This window comes from Homo sapiens, chromosome 11 (genome assembly GCF_000001405.40).
Source record: "Homo sapiens chromosome 11, GRCh38.p14 Primary Assembly".
Taxonomy (NCBI): domain Eukaryota; kingdom Metazoa; phylum Chordata; class Mammalia; order Primates; family Hominidae; genus Homo; species Homo sapiens.
This window is the reverse complement of record NC_000011.10, coordinates 88,554,900-88,572,058: the sequence shown is the minus strand read 5'-3', so window position 1 is coordinate 88,572,058 and position 17,159 is coordinate 88,554,900. Positions and strand designations below refer to the sequence as shown.

Sequence of the window (17,159 nt, the reverse complement as noted above, 5' to 3'; positions counted from 1 at the left end):
CTCATCTTAGTTAACAGTATTGCTATCAGCTACAAAGCCTTTCTTCTTGATTCTTCTATCTTCTTCATAATTTCTTTCAATTCCAGTTCTGAAATGTCTTTACCAACTAATTGTTTTCTCTAGTACAGTTACTTAGTTTTTGTCTTTATCATCCCTGTCTCCTTGTGATAGTCTTCTGACTGGTTTCTTCATTTCCAGTCTTCACTTGCCATCACAGCCTCCTGCCTTTTCAATCTATCTCCCCACACCACCACCAGTCCTGCCCTTGAGATGATATATTTTATAAAAAGCCTTAAGTAAGGTTAGGATGATTACATCTTGGAGTTATCATATAAGGCATTTGCACGATGGGTAAGAATTTGGCTTGATAATCTCTAAGGTTAAATTGCACCAAAGACTAATATAGCATAACTGAAGTTGCTTATTCAAAATAAAGATTCCTTTGCCCCACCACAATGTACTGACTCAAAATCTTCTGAGTTTAGACTCCTGAGTTACAGTTTTGTAGGCTTCCCAAGTGATTGTGATACGCATCCATTTTTTGGAAACTCTAAGATCTTATTCAATTATAAGATTCAGTGATTATAACCCTTTAATCAGAGTCCAGTTTGCTATTCTTAGAGAATAGTTACAACAGTATTTTTTGCAATGAAGGCATCAAACTAAATGTAAGACTTTCTAAATGGTTTACATTAAATAAAAGAAGCATTCATTTAATATATAAATCCTGAAAGATTTGGGAAAATAATTACATCACATTAGAGACAAGCCTCATGTACATTTTTAACACATATATCTAATGAGTTTTCTTTAGTTTCACACAGATGTTAATAAGCTGAACATGAAGAGTTCAAAAATATATCTGATAAAAATAGTAGTAAATGTTATTCTATGCAAAGTATTTAGAAATTAAACTTAATTACATTAAGATGAAAACAATTAAGATTTAGCAGAACAGTAGGAAAAACTGGGGTAAAATTAAGTGTTTAATTACTTTTTCCAGCTCATTCTTTTAGGTAATGAAAAGATTCCTGCCCTATATACAAACATAACGTTTCCTATATAAGTAAATTGCTATGGACGTTAGCAGCACATGACCTAGCAGTAGAAACAGACCTCTATATATTTAATAAATTTTATTGTCAAATCATTGCTATAAATGAACTAATATAAAATAATAAATATAGGAATGGGATAGGTACAGTGGCTCATGCCTGTAATCCCAGCACTTTGAGAGGCCGAGGAAGGTGGATCACTCAGGGCAAGGAGTTCGACCAGCCTGGCCAACATGGTGAAATCCCGTCTCTACTAAATATACAAAAAAATTAGCCGGGAGTGCCTGTAATCCCAGCTCAGGCGGCTGAGGCACAAGAATCGCTTGAACTCGGGAGGCAGAGGTTGCAGTGAGCCAAGATCACACCACTGCACTCTAGCCTGGGTGACAAAGGGCGACTATGTCTCAAAAAAAAAAAAAAAAAAAAAAAAAATATATATATATATATATATATTATTAATACTTTTTTTGGTAAAACAGCCTCTCCAAGGAGCAAATTTGTAAATATAAGCCTAAACTCTATGGCATACTAAAGTATCAGAGGTTGAATTCCAACTATATAGGAAGCACATGGGAACGTAGATGACTAGAAATACAGATATAGGTATATTAATTAGCAATGAGATATGTATTTTTATACTTAATGAGGTCATATAACACAACTGTTTTGTATTTAGTTATATTTAGTCTGAGCTATCCACAATTTTTTAAAATTTAAAGCCCTTTGTTTCAATATTAAATGCACAATTATTTAGAGTAAGAATACATTTTCCCATAGAAACATTTTACAAAGTGTGCTGAGAATCCCAGGCTAGCTCATAACTCCTATTAAATCCATTATGACTTTAATTATAGTACTAATAGTACTATCTGAAATGTGAGATCTTAAAGCAAAACAGCAGCAGGGCAGAAATAAGGGGAAGAATAATTCCCTTCCCTTCCCTTTCCCCTTCCCCTTCTCTTTCCTTTGTTTCTTCCCTTCCCTTCTTCCCTTCCCTTTCTACAACGAAGCTACCCTTAGGCATATTTTGAAAGAACTACATGCTTCCTTGCTGTCATTACTTGTTGTTGCCTCCCCTACCTCCCAGTAACCATTGATATTCAAAGCCACTGACTGCAACACCCTTGATCATGGGATAGGACAAGTTAATAGGAAAACTTTACTCCTTATCAATGAGGATTTGTTTTCCCTGCATATATCAAGAAAATAAATAAATGAAAGGAGCTTAAACAAAGAAGATGTGGATATGCATAGTCCACAGGTAGTGGGGGGTCCATGGTTCTCAGGGAGTGGAGCCCCCTCTATTTTTCTCTTCCAAACCCAGAACACATTTTCTGTCCTTCAAGTTACCTTGAAGTCCAAAACAACTGCTGGAGCTGTAGCCATCATGTTTATGTGCCAGGCAGCAGAAGAAGAAAGTAAAGAAGGGAAAAAGGTTACTTTCTACCATGAGTCATTTTCCTTTCAGGAATCCTCTGTGTACATGTTATTGGCTGAAACCTATTCCTATGCCACATTTCACAGCAATGGTTGATGAAAAATGTAGTATTGTAACTAATGCCTTTACCATCCCAAATGAAATTAGAGGTCTATTGCTGAGAATGAAGGGGAGAATAGATATTGACATGCAATTAGTCATTTCTGCTACATTCCTCAAATGCCCAATGCTCCAGATTACTTGCCTCCTTTCCTACTTACTCAGTGAAGCTATCTCAAGTCCATTTTCTTTCAAGTCTAACTGACAGGAATGATCCTCCTAGAACAATGGTTCTCAACTTTGGTTGCACATTAGAAGCACTTGCAGTATTGTTAAAAAATCCTGATGCCCATGTCACACTCAGACAAATTAAGTCAGAAGCTCAACCAATGGGACACCCAGGTCTCAGGATTTTATATATGTGTGTAAATATGTATATATATAGTCTTGGTGATTCTAGTGTGTAGCCAACTTTGAGAACCACTGTCCTAAAAAATTGTAAAAGACAGATAATCCAAATGATGCTATATTCTGTCACTATTTTTCTGCTATATAATCAAGGAATAATTTAAAAACTCCATATCATAAATAAAGAATAAGGAACGATTTTGAGAGTGGTGCACTTCCCTTGCCTGCCAATTGTTTGCCTTTGGGGTCAGTTTTCTTATAAAAATGAACTTCCTCCTTTTTTTAACAGAATCTTCTAAAACATCTAGACCACAAGATTCTCTGAAAATTCCAACTCTTCTTTACTAGTGTTGGTCATATTTCATATCTTTTTCACTTTTCACACACTCCCACATCCATTCAAACACTCTATATGGCTCTAAAATAAGTCTTAAATGTGTGCACACCTTTATCTCATCCAAAACCCACACAGAAACCAAAGAAATGTTTAAAACACACACGCACACACAAATCTGAGCTTGTCATTGCTCTACAAAGATCCTTAGAATAACTTCCTACTGATCTAGGATTCTCTAACCTGCAAGATCCCCTTCCTCCCTACCTCCCAGCCTCATCTTAGGCCACTTGTTACACTGTCATACAGTGGCTTCCCTTCATGCCTCTCTTCCTTACAGTTAATGTACTTTAACTGTAAGTTTGCCAAGCCCATGAAATCCCCAACTCCATCAAACCAACACATTTATTTGCTCATTCCTATTGTAGGAGGCCTTTGCTGCTTCAAGAGACTGCTTAGAACCCATGTTATACCTCTTCATGACCCTTATCACAGTTACAGTTGTTTAAAAGGCCACTGATTTTTTTTTATGAGAGCAGGAAACATGTTCTGCATTATTTTGTTTCAGAACCTAGAATAGTTCCTATCACAGACCATGTACATGTTCAGTAATATCATCATTAACGTTTTCTGAATGAATACATGAAACAATAAGTAGCAGGAGATTCTGAAATTAGAAAGGTAGATGGGGAACAAACTGAAATGGTCATAAACAGCTGCTTGTAACTTAGGGATATGTGACCCAAGTCAACATCTCTCCCTCCTTTACAATATGTGTTTGTGTCTCTGCAGGTTGTGACTTGATCCCAGTACAGTATCTTCGATGGGGTGACCCTGAACCCATTGCAGCTGTGGTGTTTGCCTGCCTTGGCCTCCTGGCCACCCTGTTTGTTACTGTAGTCTTCATCATTTACCGTGATACACCAGTAGTCAAGTCCTCAAGCAGGGAACTCTGCTACATTATCCTTGCTGGCATCTGCCTGGGCTACTTATGTACCTTCTGCCTCATTGCGAAGCCCAAACAGATTTACTGCTACCTTCAGAGAATTGGCATTGGTCTCTCCCCAGCCATGAGCTACTCAGCCCTTGTAACAAAGACCAACCGTATTGCAAGGATCCTGGCTGGCAGCAAGAAGAAGATCTGTACCAAAAAGCCCAGATTCATGAGTGCCTGTGCCCAGCTAGTGATTGCTTTCATTCTCATATGCATCCAGTTGGGCATCATCGTTGCCCTCTTTATAATGGAGCCTCCTGACATAATGCATGACTACCCAAGCATTCGAGAAGTCTACCTGATCTGTAACACCACCAACCTAGGAGTTGTCACTCCACTTGGATACAATGGATTGTTGATTTTGAGCTGCACCTTCTATGCGTTCAAGACCAGAAATGTTCCAGCTAACTTCAACGAGGCCAAGTATATCGCCTTCACAATGTACACGACCTGCATTATATGGCTAGCTTTTGTGCCAATCTACTTTGGCAGCAACTACAAAATCATCACCATGTGTTTCTCGGTCAGCCTCAGTGCCACAGTGGCCCTAGGCTGCATGTTTGTGCCGAAGGTGTACATCATCCTGGCCAAACCAGAGAGAAACGTGCGCAGCGCCTTCACCACATCTACCGTGGTGCGCATGCATGTAGGGGATGGCAAGTCATCCTCCGCAGCCAGCAGATCCAGCAGCCTAGTCAACCTGTGGAAGAGAAGGGGCTCCTCTGGGGAAACCTTAAGGTAAAAGTTGTGGGGGCTTACAGGGATGCTGGCCCCTAAAACTGGAGCAGAGGCATGTGTTTCCTGGGTCTTTTAAATGGGAGAAATCTGGGTAAATGAAACCATGTGAGGCAGGGTGACTTACGGCATGGACCTTCTCATAAAATGGTATTTATGGGGTTAATGGGATGTGGGTCCAATTACTTAGGCCAAGTCTAGAAACATGGAAGTCAAAATCTCTAATAAAGCAGAGTTACAGCGTAGGGGGAGTGAGGTTGAGAGGGCAGACAGAGCAGAGTTAGCTCACAAAGCCAAGGCAAGGACCCTCAAGTTCTGAGGGGACAGAGTTATACTGTGGGTTAAATTCTAGTTCACCAGAACAGAGTAAAAATATATTACTAACAAAGATTATACTGAGAGCAAAATGCCAAGAACTCGACACATCAGACTGCACTTGTACGTGCCTAAACCTTATTCAAGCCAGAAGAGTGCTTAAATGCCCATCCAATAGAGGCACAAGAATGTAGGATTTATATTTTAGTTCTTAATGGGCAAGATGAAATCTTTAGGAGATGTCTAAGCAGCTGAAAAGGGCAAAACAACAAAGTGACTTTGCACATAAAAACAACCAGTCATTTTCCCAATTCTTTGTTGCCTATAGTCTCATCCCACCCCAAGTTCAATATCACAGGTAGTAGTTATTCGACCATTTCAATCTGAAAAGAATCTAAAGCCAGAAGCCAATGATTTCCCCCATATAAGGAACTTCCTTATGTGATAAATGATCCCAAAGCACTTCAAAAGACAAGATCATGTTATCAGTGGCTTGGGAAAAATGTTGAAGTATGAAAAAGGCAACACCAATTGTTGATAACTGGGACTAAGTATCACCTCTATTTAAGAAGTGTAATGTGTAATCAAAAGAGCTGGTCAAGACATCAGCCCTGCTAACTCTTCTGAAATTTAACAGTATTTCTAAAATCTAGATAAATAAATGGAAGATATGTAGATTTCAAATGGAAGCTACATATCTAAATAACATCTCTTGAACTATTCTCCTATACTATCACTTAGCCTGCAGGAAAGTCCTACTTTTCTGTCAGCCCTAAATCTTCAAAGTATGACTTATTATGATGGTAAAGATACTATGTCTGCTGAAGTTTGAAAATAAATCAGAGGATAGTTGAATTTTATCCACAAGGTCCAATTCGTTTACATTATTAACTTGTACTCTTACCTCTTTCAACTCTTTTCTACTTGTTTTACACTTCTCATCTCTTTCTACGTACATTGTACAAGACATTCAATTAAACTGTAACTCATGTCTTCTTTTTCAATAAATCCTGGCAATGTCATGGTCTGTACACAGCAGGCCTTTCATATATCTAACCTGCTGGCCTATTTTCCATCTGCCTTCCTGACTCCTGTATGAACCATTCTTTTTCTGAAATTTCTGCAAGATCAGCCTTTCCTTTTGGCTAAGAAAATTTATTTTTCAAACTTTTGTTTTATCAGCTTTTCTTCAAGTCCTATCTGTAAACAGAATCTCCCAGGAAAGCCTGGTATATAAAACAAGCATATTGATGGAGGAAGGGAATTGTGAGTCTATGTCTGAGCACGTAAAAAACTCACTAGAGAAAGCCCCTTAGGGAGACAGCATGGAGTGGTGGCAGAGAACACTGGCTGCCTAGCCAGATTGTTTTGGGTTTGAACAACAGCAGTGCTACTTTGTCTCTCTGCACCTTATTTCTATCATCTGACAAACTGGATTGTAAAAAATGAAGGAGATAATATGTGTAATGGCTGGCACATAGTAGGCACTTTATTGAAGGTAGCACAGTATAGTGCTGGAGAGCACTGGGATTAAATACTGGCAGCATCACTTAGCAGGTGCAGAACCTTAGGCAAATTCACTTAACCTCTCTATGCTTTGATTTCTTCCTCCGAAAAAATGGAGATAAAGAAATGCATACTTCATAGACTGGTTGTGATGACTGAATAAGTTAACATGTGTATAGTGTCTGCCACATAGTAAGCCCTTCTTAAGTATTTGCTATTTTGATTAACTAAGTTAACCATTGTCAGTCTTCTTTTACTCATGAAAGTTACTGTACCCAATACACAATCTGGATGATCTTAATAACAAAGACAGCACTATAAACGGCAGCACAAACCTATGGAGACATTGATTATACAATCTGAGTTTTACAGGGCATCTCGATCTTCATGTTGTCCAGCTCTTTGCCATTCTGTATAGCACATCCTGTCTTCCAATTTAAGCAGAGCAAGCTCCTTAGGGATGGAGGCCTTCTTTACCTTGCTCATCACTGTGCCTCCAATACCTACCTGTACCTTGAAGGGTGCTTGACACATAGAATATGCTCAATAATGATTTTTGGTATGTTTGTTGAATGAATTTGGGATGGTATTAATGTGGTAGGTACTTTTTTTGCTTGTCTTCAAATGTGCACACTCTTACTCCCTAGTTGTACTATTAACTTTTATAAGATTAAGGCAACAGTGCCCTGTATTACAGATATCTCTCTCACTCCTGTGGTCATCAGTCTCTGCTCTAGAATCGGATCACTGATCCCTTGCTTTACTATAGTTATAAAGTTTCTCTAGTAACATTCAATAAATATTTTCAACTGTTTTGTTTCTAATTTAATAAACAAAGGGACAAACAAAAGCAACAAATTTTACTGATAGTGCCAACCACTAGAAAACGGAAATTCTAAAGATTTTTGTTGCAATATTTTAACTTGTTTTTCCTACAGGGCCATGTAGTTTTTTTGAAATCTGTGCATTTGGATGTTAGAATCTGAAAGAGGGTAAAGAGAAACCTTTGGCAAGTGTTTGGTCTTCTTTCTGCAATCTTGGCAAATCTTGATCTGTCTATGTGATTATAGCTGACACAGGCCACAGTCTGATTATATGGAGATTTCTTTTTTGACATCAACTGGCATATTCAAGCTAGAACCTGCTTTTGATATGGATAAGAAAAAGGGGCAGGGAAAGCTATAATTCTTTTGTATCACATGCATCTGATATCTGCTCTCCTTTTTAACCCACAGTCATTAGAAAGAGATGCAAACTAAAATTCCTTTCCTCTATGGCTTCCATGAGCTCCAAAACTAAATATTTCTTCTCTGTGATACAAAATCTGTGATGTTTAGCATATTTATTACACTATAGGATATAGCTGGTTATGCAGGGATTCAGCTCCCATTTGATAATTACTTTTATGAAAAGCCAGTGTATAACACATGGTTCACCGCACTTCAGCTTAACTAATGGGAAACAAATAAATTCAGGTATTTCTAATATTTTTACATTTTCTTCTAAATTGCTTCCCTGAGTTGTGCTTCTCAGTCTTGAAAATTTTAATATGCTATTGAGCCCATCTCTTGGGATGTCATGTGGGCTTAAATAGGTAAATAAAGTCTCTGGATGTAGGTCTTTGGTGGAGAAGCATCTACCATGCTCGACCCAGCCCTGTTCTGCTGTCCTCTGTCAGGTGTATGAAGAAACAGGCTGCTATAATCTGAGATTGGGTATGCCCTCTGTTTCTGGATGGGGTCGTGTGTGTCCCTTCCACATGGAATGGCAGATGGTAAGGGCTCTCTATCTTAAAGAGGATACTAATTGTGTACCTCAAAATGAAGACTATAATAATATCTAAGATTATGGTAACTATGTCTCCAAAAGTTTGTACAGGCTCCTGGAAAGGTGTATGTACACAGATGGAAAATGCAAAGGCAGCATACTAGTTTAGAGTTCTGGCTTTGGAACCACACCTGGATTTCAATTCAGCTATGAATTTGAATAAGGCACTTTAGTCTGTTTTCTCAACTGTAAAATGGTAGATAATAATTCCTATTTTGAGTAGTAAATGAGGTAATATGCATTAAGTGTTTAGTACCAGCACGTAGAAAGTATTCAATAAATGCTACCTCAACCTTTTAGAATTGTGTCTGCAAGTAGCAGAAAGCCTGTTTTCAAACACTTATACTCTTTAGAGTTCATTTTCCTCATGTTATAAAAATTGTGGAGGGAGATTTCTTCGGGTGTTGGTTCAGTGATGCAAAGGCAAACACTTCTACCATTCTCTAGGCCTTTTACTAATGGTTGTAATATAGTTGTCATGGTTCCATACATTGTGTACTTTCATTAGGGAAAACAAAAGTCTTCTCAGAGTCCCATAAGAATTGCCCTTGTGTCTCACTGGCCCAAACTGTCTAATATAAGAGAATATGGGAAAGTGACATTTAGCCTCTTCCATCTCTATCATGGAAATGGAAAGAAAAAATGGCGTGTCAGGTGTTTGTTAGATAATCCAGTGCATAGTGCCTAAAATGTTAGCACCTAGTAGTAGTCACGGTGGTAGCAGTCGCAGAAGGAAGAGGAATGGAACAGAGAAGAGAGCAAAGAAGAGGAAAGAAGTAAGAAGAAGTGGAGCACAAAGTAGGAGACTGGAAAAAAGTTTCAAATCAGAGTAGTCCCCCAAAATGGTTCATTTATTACCTACCTACTATGTTCTGCCACCTTACAGAACTTTTTGTATGTATAACTAGTCTAACATTTCTAATTGTCATAAAATACTGCAAGTTGAAGCAACAATCCTCCCATTTTTCAGATGGGAAATTTGAGGTCCTGCACGGTGAGAATACTTGCCTATTGTTTCATGACTAATGAGTAATGGAGCAGTTTTTAAATTAAGGTCTTAGCTGATGATTACTAGAGCTAAGCATATATGGACTGTTTTCTTTGGAAAATTAGTATATTCTTTGAAAAATTAAATAGCTCCATGAAAAAGAAATTATTTGGTCAAAAAGGTGAAAAAACTCTATTCTCTTATTGGAGATAAACACTGAGAAGTCTTGCACTGTAGAAACCTATCATCTATTTGTTAACTCTTTCTATCATTTTGCAAACATGTATACAAGACCATTTTTTTCCAAGTAAACCTCTTAACATTCTGAAGAACTGATGCTCCAAAGAACTTACTTTGGAAAACATCATCATAGACCCAAGAGAAGACATGTTTATGGGGCCTGAAGAGTAGTTCATATCTTTAGTGAGAAGGGGGCTAGACGAAGCAAATTTCCACCTCTCATCATGGAGAAAGAATCACTTTGAGCTCTCTGAGCACCTAAGGAGACAACAGAGGTAATTCTAACAGATCCAACAATTTTCTGTGAAGTTAAATTGGCTCAACCTAGAGCACAAATAGAAAAGGGCCCGGAATCAGCCATTCAATTCACTGAAATAGCAAAGGGAGATTTTTATTTAAATGGAAATGAGTCACTACAGATTTTTTTATATGGAAACATGCTATTTATGCCATCAATGTATAGAGGTCCCTGTGATTAACATTTTGGTTCTAGACACTAATTTCCAGCACAACATGGTGCAGCATCAAATCATTGTCAAGCAGATAATGCCAGGCTTCCGTTTAAGGCATTCACTTCAGCTGCAAATTGACAAATGAACACAAGGCCAGTTCTGACCTAAATAAAGCATTGAATCTGATGAATCTAAAGTTCTAGCTCTGCAAGATTCAGAATTTCCAGGCACATGGAACTGGGGTTCTAAAATGCAATGGGCCTTTCATGGCTAAATTGATGACAGAGACCTACAGCTGGAAGTTATAAATTTTCTCAGAAGTCAAAACCCTCCCCTGGGATTCTAGTCAGGGGGCAGAATCATTAGTGTTGCCTCCACCTTAACTGAAATTTAGAAACTGCCATTTGCCACTTCTGTTTTAATTAACTAATTAACTTTGCTTTAATTAGCATTGTCACGAGGGCCCACTTTGGCTGTCTGCTAAAGCAACTGCTGGTCTCCCCACATTCATTGGCCGAATTACAATATGCCTAGAAAACTGGTTCATTTGTGTGAATTCCAATATACTCCAATTGTTGTCAGAGCTTTCATAATTTCCAATGGCTTATATTTCCTTCAGGCATTATTAGTCTGCATGAAGTGATGTTCATGCTATTTCTCGTTCTTTAGAGTCCTCCACCTTTTCCTTCTATCTCTCCAGATCCTACTCATCTTCCAAGGCTAGGACACCTCAATGAGACCCTATCAGATTTACCCATCTCACAGATTTTCCCACATCTGGACTCTTGGAGCATTTATTATGTATTCCATATATTTCACACATATCACTCTCCCTTTCTTCACTTGTTATTTATTCACAGACATTGACTGAGGACTGAGCAATACCACCACTGTGCTAGGCCCTCGGGATATTGAGTTTGTTTTGTGTACATATGTAACATTTTCACAACTATCTAATGCTGTCTTCAGCGTATTTATATCTCCCTTGGTGCCTAGCACAGTGCTTGCCATGCAGTGATTAATAAAGAGCACACAGAAGGACAGGTGGATTAGAGATCTGTTGGGCAGCACCTCATGGAGCTCACACTGCCTTCAGAGTGAACAAGATTACTCACTTTGCTGACTTGATGGGCCAGATTTTATCTGATAATGCTTTGTCCTAAAAATATAAGAAAAAAAATGCTTTCTTTCTAAAATCAACTTTTCTTTTTAAAATCAAGCTTCCATTGAATGCCTACTCAGCAGCATCAGTAACTGTTCCAGATCCTAGGGATACAGAGATAGATAAAAAACAATCTTTGGGAAGCCCTCAGTCTCCCAGGAAAGGCAGGATTAGAAACAGTTAAGTTCAATAAAGCAATACAGTGCCATGATAGGAGCCTATAGAGAAACAGAAGGACCCAAAGGTAGAAGTAGTAAATTCTGCCCGAAATTAGAAATAATGTTTAAAAGATACTCATTCAAACAAGAAAAACTATCTAAGTGTTTTAAACCCTGTTTAGAAGCCTTCAGGGCTTCTCCGCCCAGTAGGACAGGATAGAGCCATAAAGTTCTTTTGCATAATAGGAAAGGCCCTTGCTAATCTGACTCCTTCACCCTTAGCTAGCCTTGCTTCTGGCCACCCCCTGCCTGACTTTCCACACTGATCCTTATACAATTTCCTTGCTCTATGGCCTCTAGAGAGGCAGCTACTTTGGTATGAAATACACCTACCCCATCTCACCCTCAACTCTCACTTGGCCAACTCATACTCATCTTAGATACCAATTCTGCTGGAAAGCCTCTCCTGGCCCTCTGAGACTGCATTAAGTTCCCCTCCTTATGATCCAAATGAGCCATGTGCTTCTCACTACAGAGCATTTATCATCCCACGTTAGAATTGTCTGTTTAATTGAAAGACTCTTTTGCACCATCATCTCTAGACTCGCCACAGACACACACTATACCATGAACTTATTAAAGAGAGGAGCTTACTCATTTTCTGTATCATTTGCACCGTGCACAGTGCCAATCACATACTCAATACTCAAAAATGTTTGTTAAATGAATACATGGATAAATAACTAATGTCTGAGCTGCACTGGCATTTGCCAGTGAACAAGAAAAGGCTGAAGCTAGGGAGTAATAGTTATTGAGCACTTGCTATGGGCCAGGCACTGCTCTAAACCCCTTAAATGTAATGAATCTTTTTATATCCACAACAATCTATGGGGTAGGCATTATTAGCTCATTTATTGTACACATGAGGAAACTGAGGCAAACAGAAGCTAATTGACTTCCCCATTCAGATAGTAAGTAGAAGAGGAAGGATTAGAATAAAAGGAAGCTAGCTTCATAGCCCACTCAGGTAACCTTTAAGCTGTGTTCCTTATTCCAGCCCTTATGACAAACATGGCAGCCCTAACTGAGGAAAAACTGAGATTAATGAGTGAGGAGTAGAACTCCCCGCCAAGGAATTTCCTTGAAAACTGCTCCCTGCATCTTTATTGCACTGCACACTTCTGATTCCATCATATCCTGAATGAACCAAATTTGATTGTGAATAGAGTACACAAAAGCTTCTGAGATAAAATTTAAACCTTAAGAACTGCCTGAAATTTGGTGGTGATTTTCAAATATTTGTATAGATTTTCTTTATGAGAATAAAATCTGACTGACTTATTTTTATTATGTATAATATTTTTACAGGAATTGAGAAGACTTACACTACTTTTTGGTATAATATTTTTAGTTACAAAGTTTTTATTATAAACTTTTATTATGAGCTCTTTATAAACCACATTTTTACTCTGCTTCTATTTACTAATTTTTCCCTCCAAGAAGTCCCACAAACTTAAAAAAATAGAACTTTATAAATATACTTTGAGAATTATGCTGTTTTGTGTTTGTGTTGTTTGTTGTATTTTTTTTTTTTTTTTTTTTTTTTTTGAGATGGAGTCTCACTCTGTTGCCAGGCTGTAGTGCAGAGGTATGATCTGGGCTCACTGCAACCTCCACCTCTCAGTTTCAAGCGATTCTCCTGCCTCAGCCTCCCAAGTTGTGGGACTATAAGCGCGCACCACCACACCCAGCTAATTTTTGGATTTTTAGAAGAGATGGGGTTTCACCATGTTGTCCAGGATGGTCTCGATCTCTTGACCTCATGATCCACCTGCCAGCAGGTCAATGTTTCAAGTCATCTAACCCTTTCCCACTCTCTCCCCTTAGAACAAAATTACAGGAGTGCAGCCTGTGAAATCTCAACAGCAGAAATTGCAACCCTTTTCCAAATCCCACCTATCCCTTAGCACAATGGCATTCAACAGGTGCTTACTTTGGATAATAACAATTAATGAGGAACTGCAGAAACACTGACTGGAATGACAGCTCCCAAAAGCAGTGAGAACAACAAGCTGGGATTGTTGTTTCGAATGTGGGGCTGTATTTACAAACTCACCTGGCCATAAATCGCCAAGAGCTGAGTCACAAACCCTGATATAGTTACTTTTCTTTGGAGAGAGTGCCTAATCTGAAGTGAAATGAAATAGGCAAAGGATCCTTATGCTTCCCACCTTGGTTCAGTCCAGTGTAATTCAACCAGAGTTTTTAGAATAATCATTATATACTGGGTACATTGCTGAGTTCTGGGAGAATAAAGATAAACAAGACACAAAGCCTGCCCTTTGGAAAAGCTCACAGAGTAGTGGGGGAGATCAATTCATACACAAAGCAATGTTTTAGAGTATGAAGTGATGAGAGAGAAAAATGCACAGAGAAATCAGAAGTCACTGAAGAATAAACTAAGTCCAATTTGAAGGTTTCAGGAAAGGTGACACTTGAGTTGAATCTCAAAGGGATAGCATTAGGAGAAATACCTAATGTAGGTGATGGGTTGAGGGGTGAAGCAAACCACCATGGCACGTGTATACCTATGTAACAAACCTACATGTTCTGCACATGTACCCCAGAACTTAAAGTATTAAAAAAAAAAAAAAAAGGATGATTAAGCCACGTGAAAACCGTGGAATACACCATACTGGGAAACAACAGGAGCAACAGCCCAGAAGTATGAAACAACATGGTGTGTGCAGGGAATCACAAGCATGTAAAATGTGTGTCAGCAGGTAACAGGAGATGAAGCTGACAGGGAAGGGGCAGAGGAGGATCCTCTATTGTTTCCTTATAAGCTTAGCCTCAAGGAGCCATCAGCCAACCACCTTCCAGCTTTCCCAATTTCCTTTCAGTTGCCTCTTTTCCCTTCTTAACACCCACTTTAGACATCCAATTCCATAATACTCATGGCTACCTCCCCAGCATCAGCCTGATGCCTCCACACACCATATGCAATCAAAACTTCCCCTCCTCTCTGCTAGAGAAGAGATAAATTAATCTGTGCTATGATGATAAGGATTAATAATGGCTTGCTTCATCCTTTATGCAGTAAACACTTAATGAGCAACTACTTTATGACAGATACTGTGCTAAGTACTTTTATCTGTTATCTCATTGGATCTTCACATAGTATTTTAAAATAGAAACTATCATCGCCTATCCACATATAAAGAAAAATTAGTAACGGAAGCACATAGAGGCCTAATAGCCTTTAGTTAGTGAACTAATAGGTGGTAGAACCAAAATTTAGGATTCAAACGCAGGTCTATGTATCTTCAAAGCTCTTTTTCATTCCAACATTGCTTTACTGGTGGATTTATTTTCTCAAGCATGTATCTCATTTTGTTCTTGTTACTGTTGATAAATAAGGTCATGATGAATGTATTTCTGCCACATATTTTGACACAGATTTTTAGTCCCAGAGAAATAACCCTAAATGCAACATTTTTTTTCTTTTTTTGGTATATAGGCAAATCAGTCCAAGTGACCCTGATGGAACAAGGTAGCCGTCGGTGTCTCTCATGTCATAATTTGACAGAAGTAGTGTGGTATAGGGAAGTGAGCCTTGTCAGCGAAGACATGCATTCTAATCCTGACTTTGACATTTATAAGCCAGGACCCTAGACTAAGCACTTAAATTCTCAGAGCCTCTAGAAAATAAGGACAAAAATATTCATTTCACTCTGTATTGTGCTCAAAGGTCCACTGTGAACATAATACAGGATGTATCCCACAGGGCCATGCATGGTGGCTCATGCCTGTAATCCCAGAACTTTGGGAGGCTAAGGCAGGCGGATCATGAGGTCAGGAGTTTAAGACCAGCCTGACCAACATGGTGAAACCCTGTCTCTACCAAAAATATAAAAATTAGCGGGGCATGATGGTGGGCACCTGTAATCCCAGCTACTTGGGAGACTGAGGCAGGAGAATTGCTTAAACCCAGAAGGTGGAGATTGCAGTGAGCCAAGATTGCGCCATTGCACTCCAGCCTAGGTGACAGAGCAAGACTCCATCTAAAAAAAAAAAAAAAAAGAAAAGAAAAGAATGTGTCCCACAGTTCATATCCATGAAATGTGAGTTTTCTTTTCACTAATCCTGGGGTCATCTCATGACCCCACCTAATAGACAGTCCTGGTGACAATCTGAGTAGGTTACATGACTTTACTCTTTAGAATGCTACTGACATGGAAATATTTGACTTCAGGAATCCTGCCTGAACTACTAGGAAATCATTGCTCTATCCTGGGGATCCATGGCCCTCCAAATTTTCATTACATCCTTCGGTGGCAAGTTAATAAGTTTCTGCTTAACTGCTTTTCTAGAAGTCAAACTTTCCTCAGGGTTTAAAGGCGGTTTGTGAGTTTTAGCCATTTCCCTCATTCCTGTTGTGGTTTGGCAGTGCATTTATGATTCTTCATAAAAAATATGAGTTTTAACTTGGCCCAGAACATGTGGATCCATCTTTACTTAATTACATAGAAACTAAATGATAAATCACTGCAATAAATTTTATGCATCATATAATATGAAGCTGTATTTGGTGAGGTATGTGTGCGCTTATGTTTTTCATGTATATTTAGTCAAAAAATTTAAAAAAGCAACTGAAGAAAATAGTCACAGCATCTCTCAGGTGCATAAGCTTTGTGCCTAGCCTTGCTCTGTGGCATCACGACAGCACATTCTGGATAAAGAAGTTGCCAGAGTGCGTGACTCCCCCTCTGCTGAGTTAAAACGGCACAGCCAGAAATACAAACTAATAATGCTGTTTCTTTCATTTATTTATGTGACTTTTTAGTTTGAGAAAAAAGAGAGACCACAACTTGGTAAACAAACATAAATCTGTCATTGGCCATGTTCTTCCAAAACAAACAGTAACTGAAAAGCAAAAAGCATGGTGAATATAATGAGGCTCCCAGTGAAAAGAATAATTACAATCAGCATTTGTTAAGTAAGTCCCAGTCCAGTCGCGTGAGACTCTTTTCCATGTGTTTTGCGTACTACTATTTTATGGGGTAAGACTTCCCAACCCAGAGTTTCTGATTCAGTTTGTCTGGAGTAGGGCCAGAGAGATTGCTTTGCTAAGGAACTTCCAAGTAATGATGACATTCCTGGGTTAGGAATCACAACATAGATTCACTTTGAGAACAATGGACTTACATATTCTAAGCTCACACCAGTGATATGAGTCAGATATTATTAACTCTGTTTTAAAAGTGAGAAACTTGAAGCTGAGGGAGGTTAAGTGATCTAAGATTACATAGCTGGTAAGGGACACAAATGGTCCTGACATCCAAGGTTGTCTGAGTCCAAACAGCATGTTCTTTCCACAGTACCATGACTGGTAAGCTTTCAAGAGGATATGTCAAGTGGGTAATTGTTCCCTCCTTCCTGTTTGCTCCATATTCAAACTTTTGTTTTGCAGATTCATTAAACTCTAGGACATTGCTGGCCCACCTG

At 38.7% G+C, this 17,159-nt stretch overlaps 1 protein-coding gene across 4 annotated transcripts in view; it reads left to right on the top strand.

Annotated features, from left to right (window-relative positions):
• GRM5 (glutamate metabotropic receptor 5) overlaps positions 1-17,159 on the top strand; it is a 561,341-nt gene that overhangs the window by 493,924 nt on the left and 50,258 nt on the right. For all 4 annotated transcript variants that reach the window (NM_001384268.1, NM_001143831.3, NM_000842.5 and 1 more), the window contains exon 8: positions 4,067-5,006. In NM_001384268.1, the coding sequence (NP_001371197.1) occupies positions 4,067-5,006 (940 nt within the window). The remainder of the gene's footprint in view (positions 1-4,066; positions 5,007-17,159) is intronic.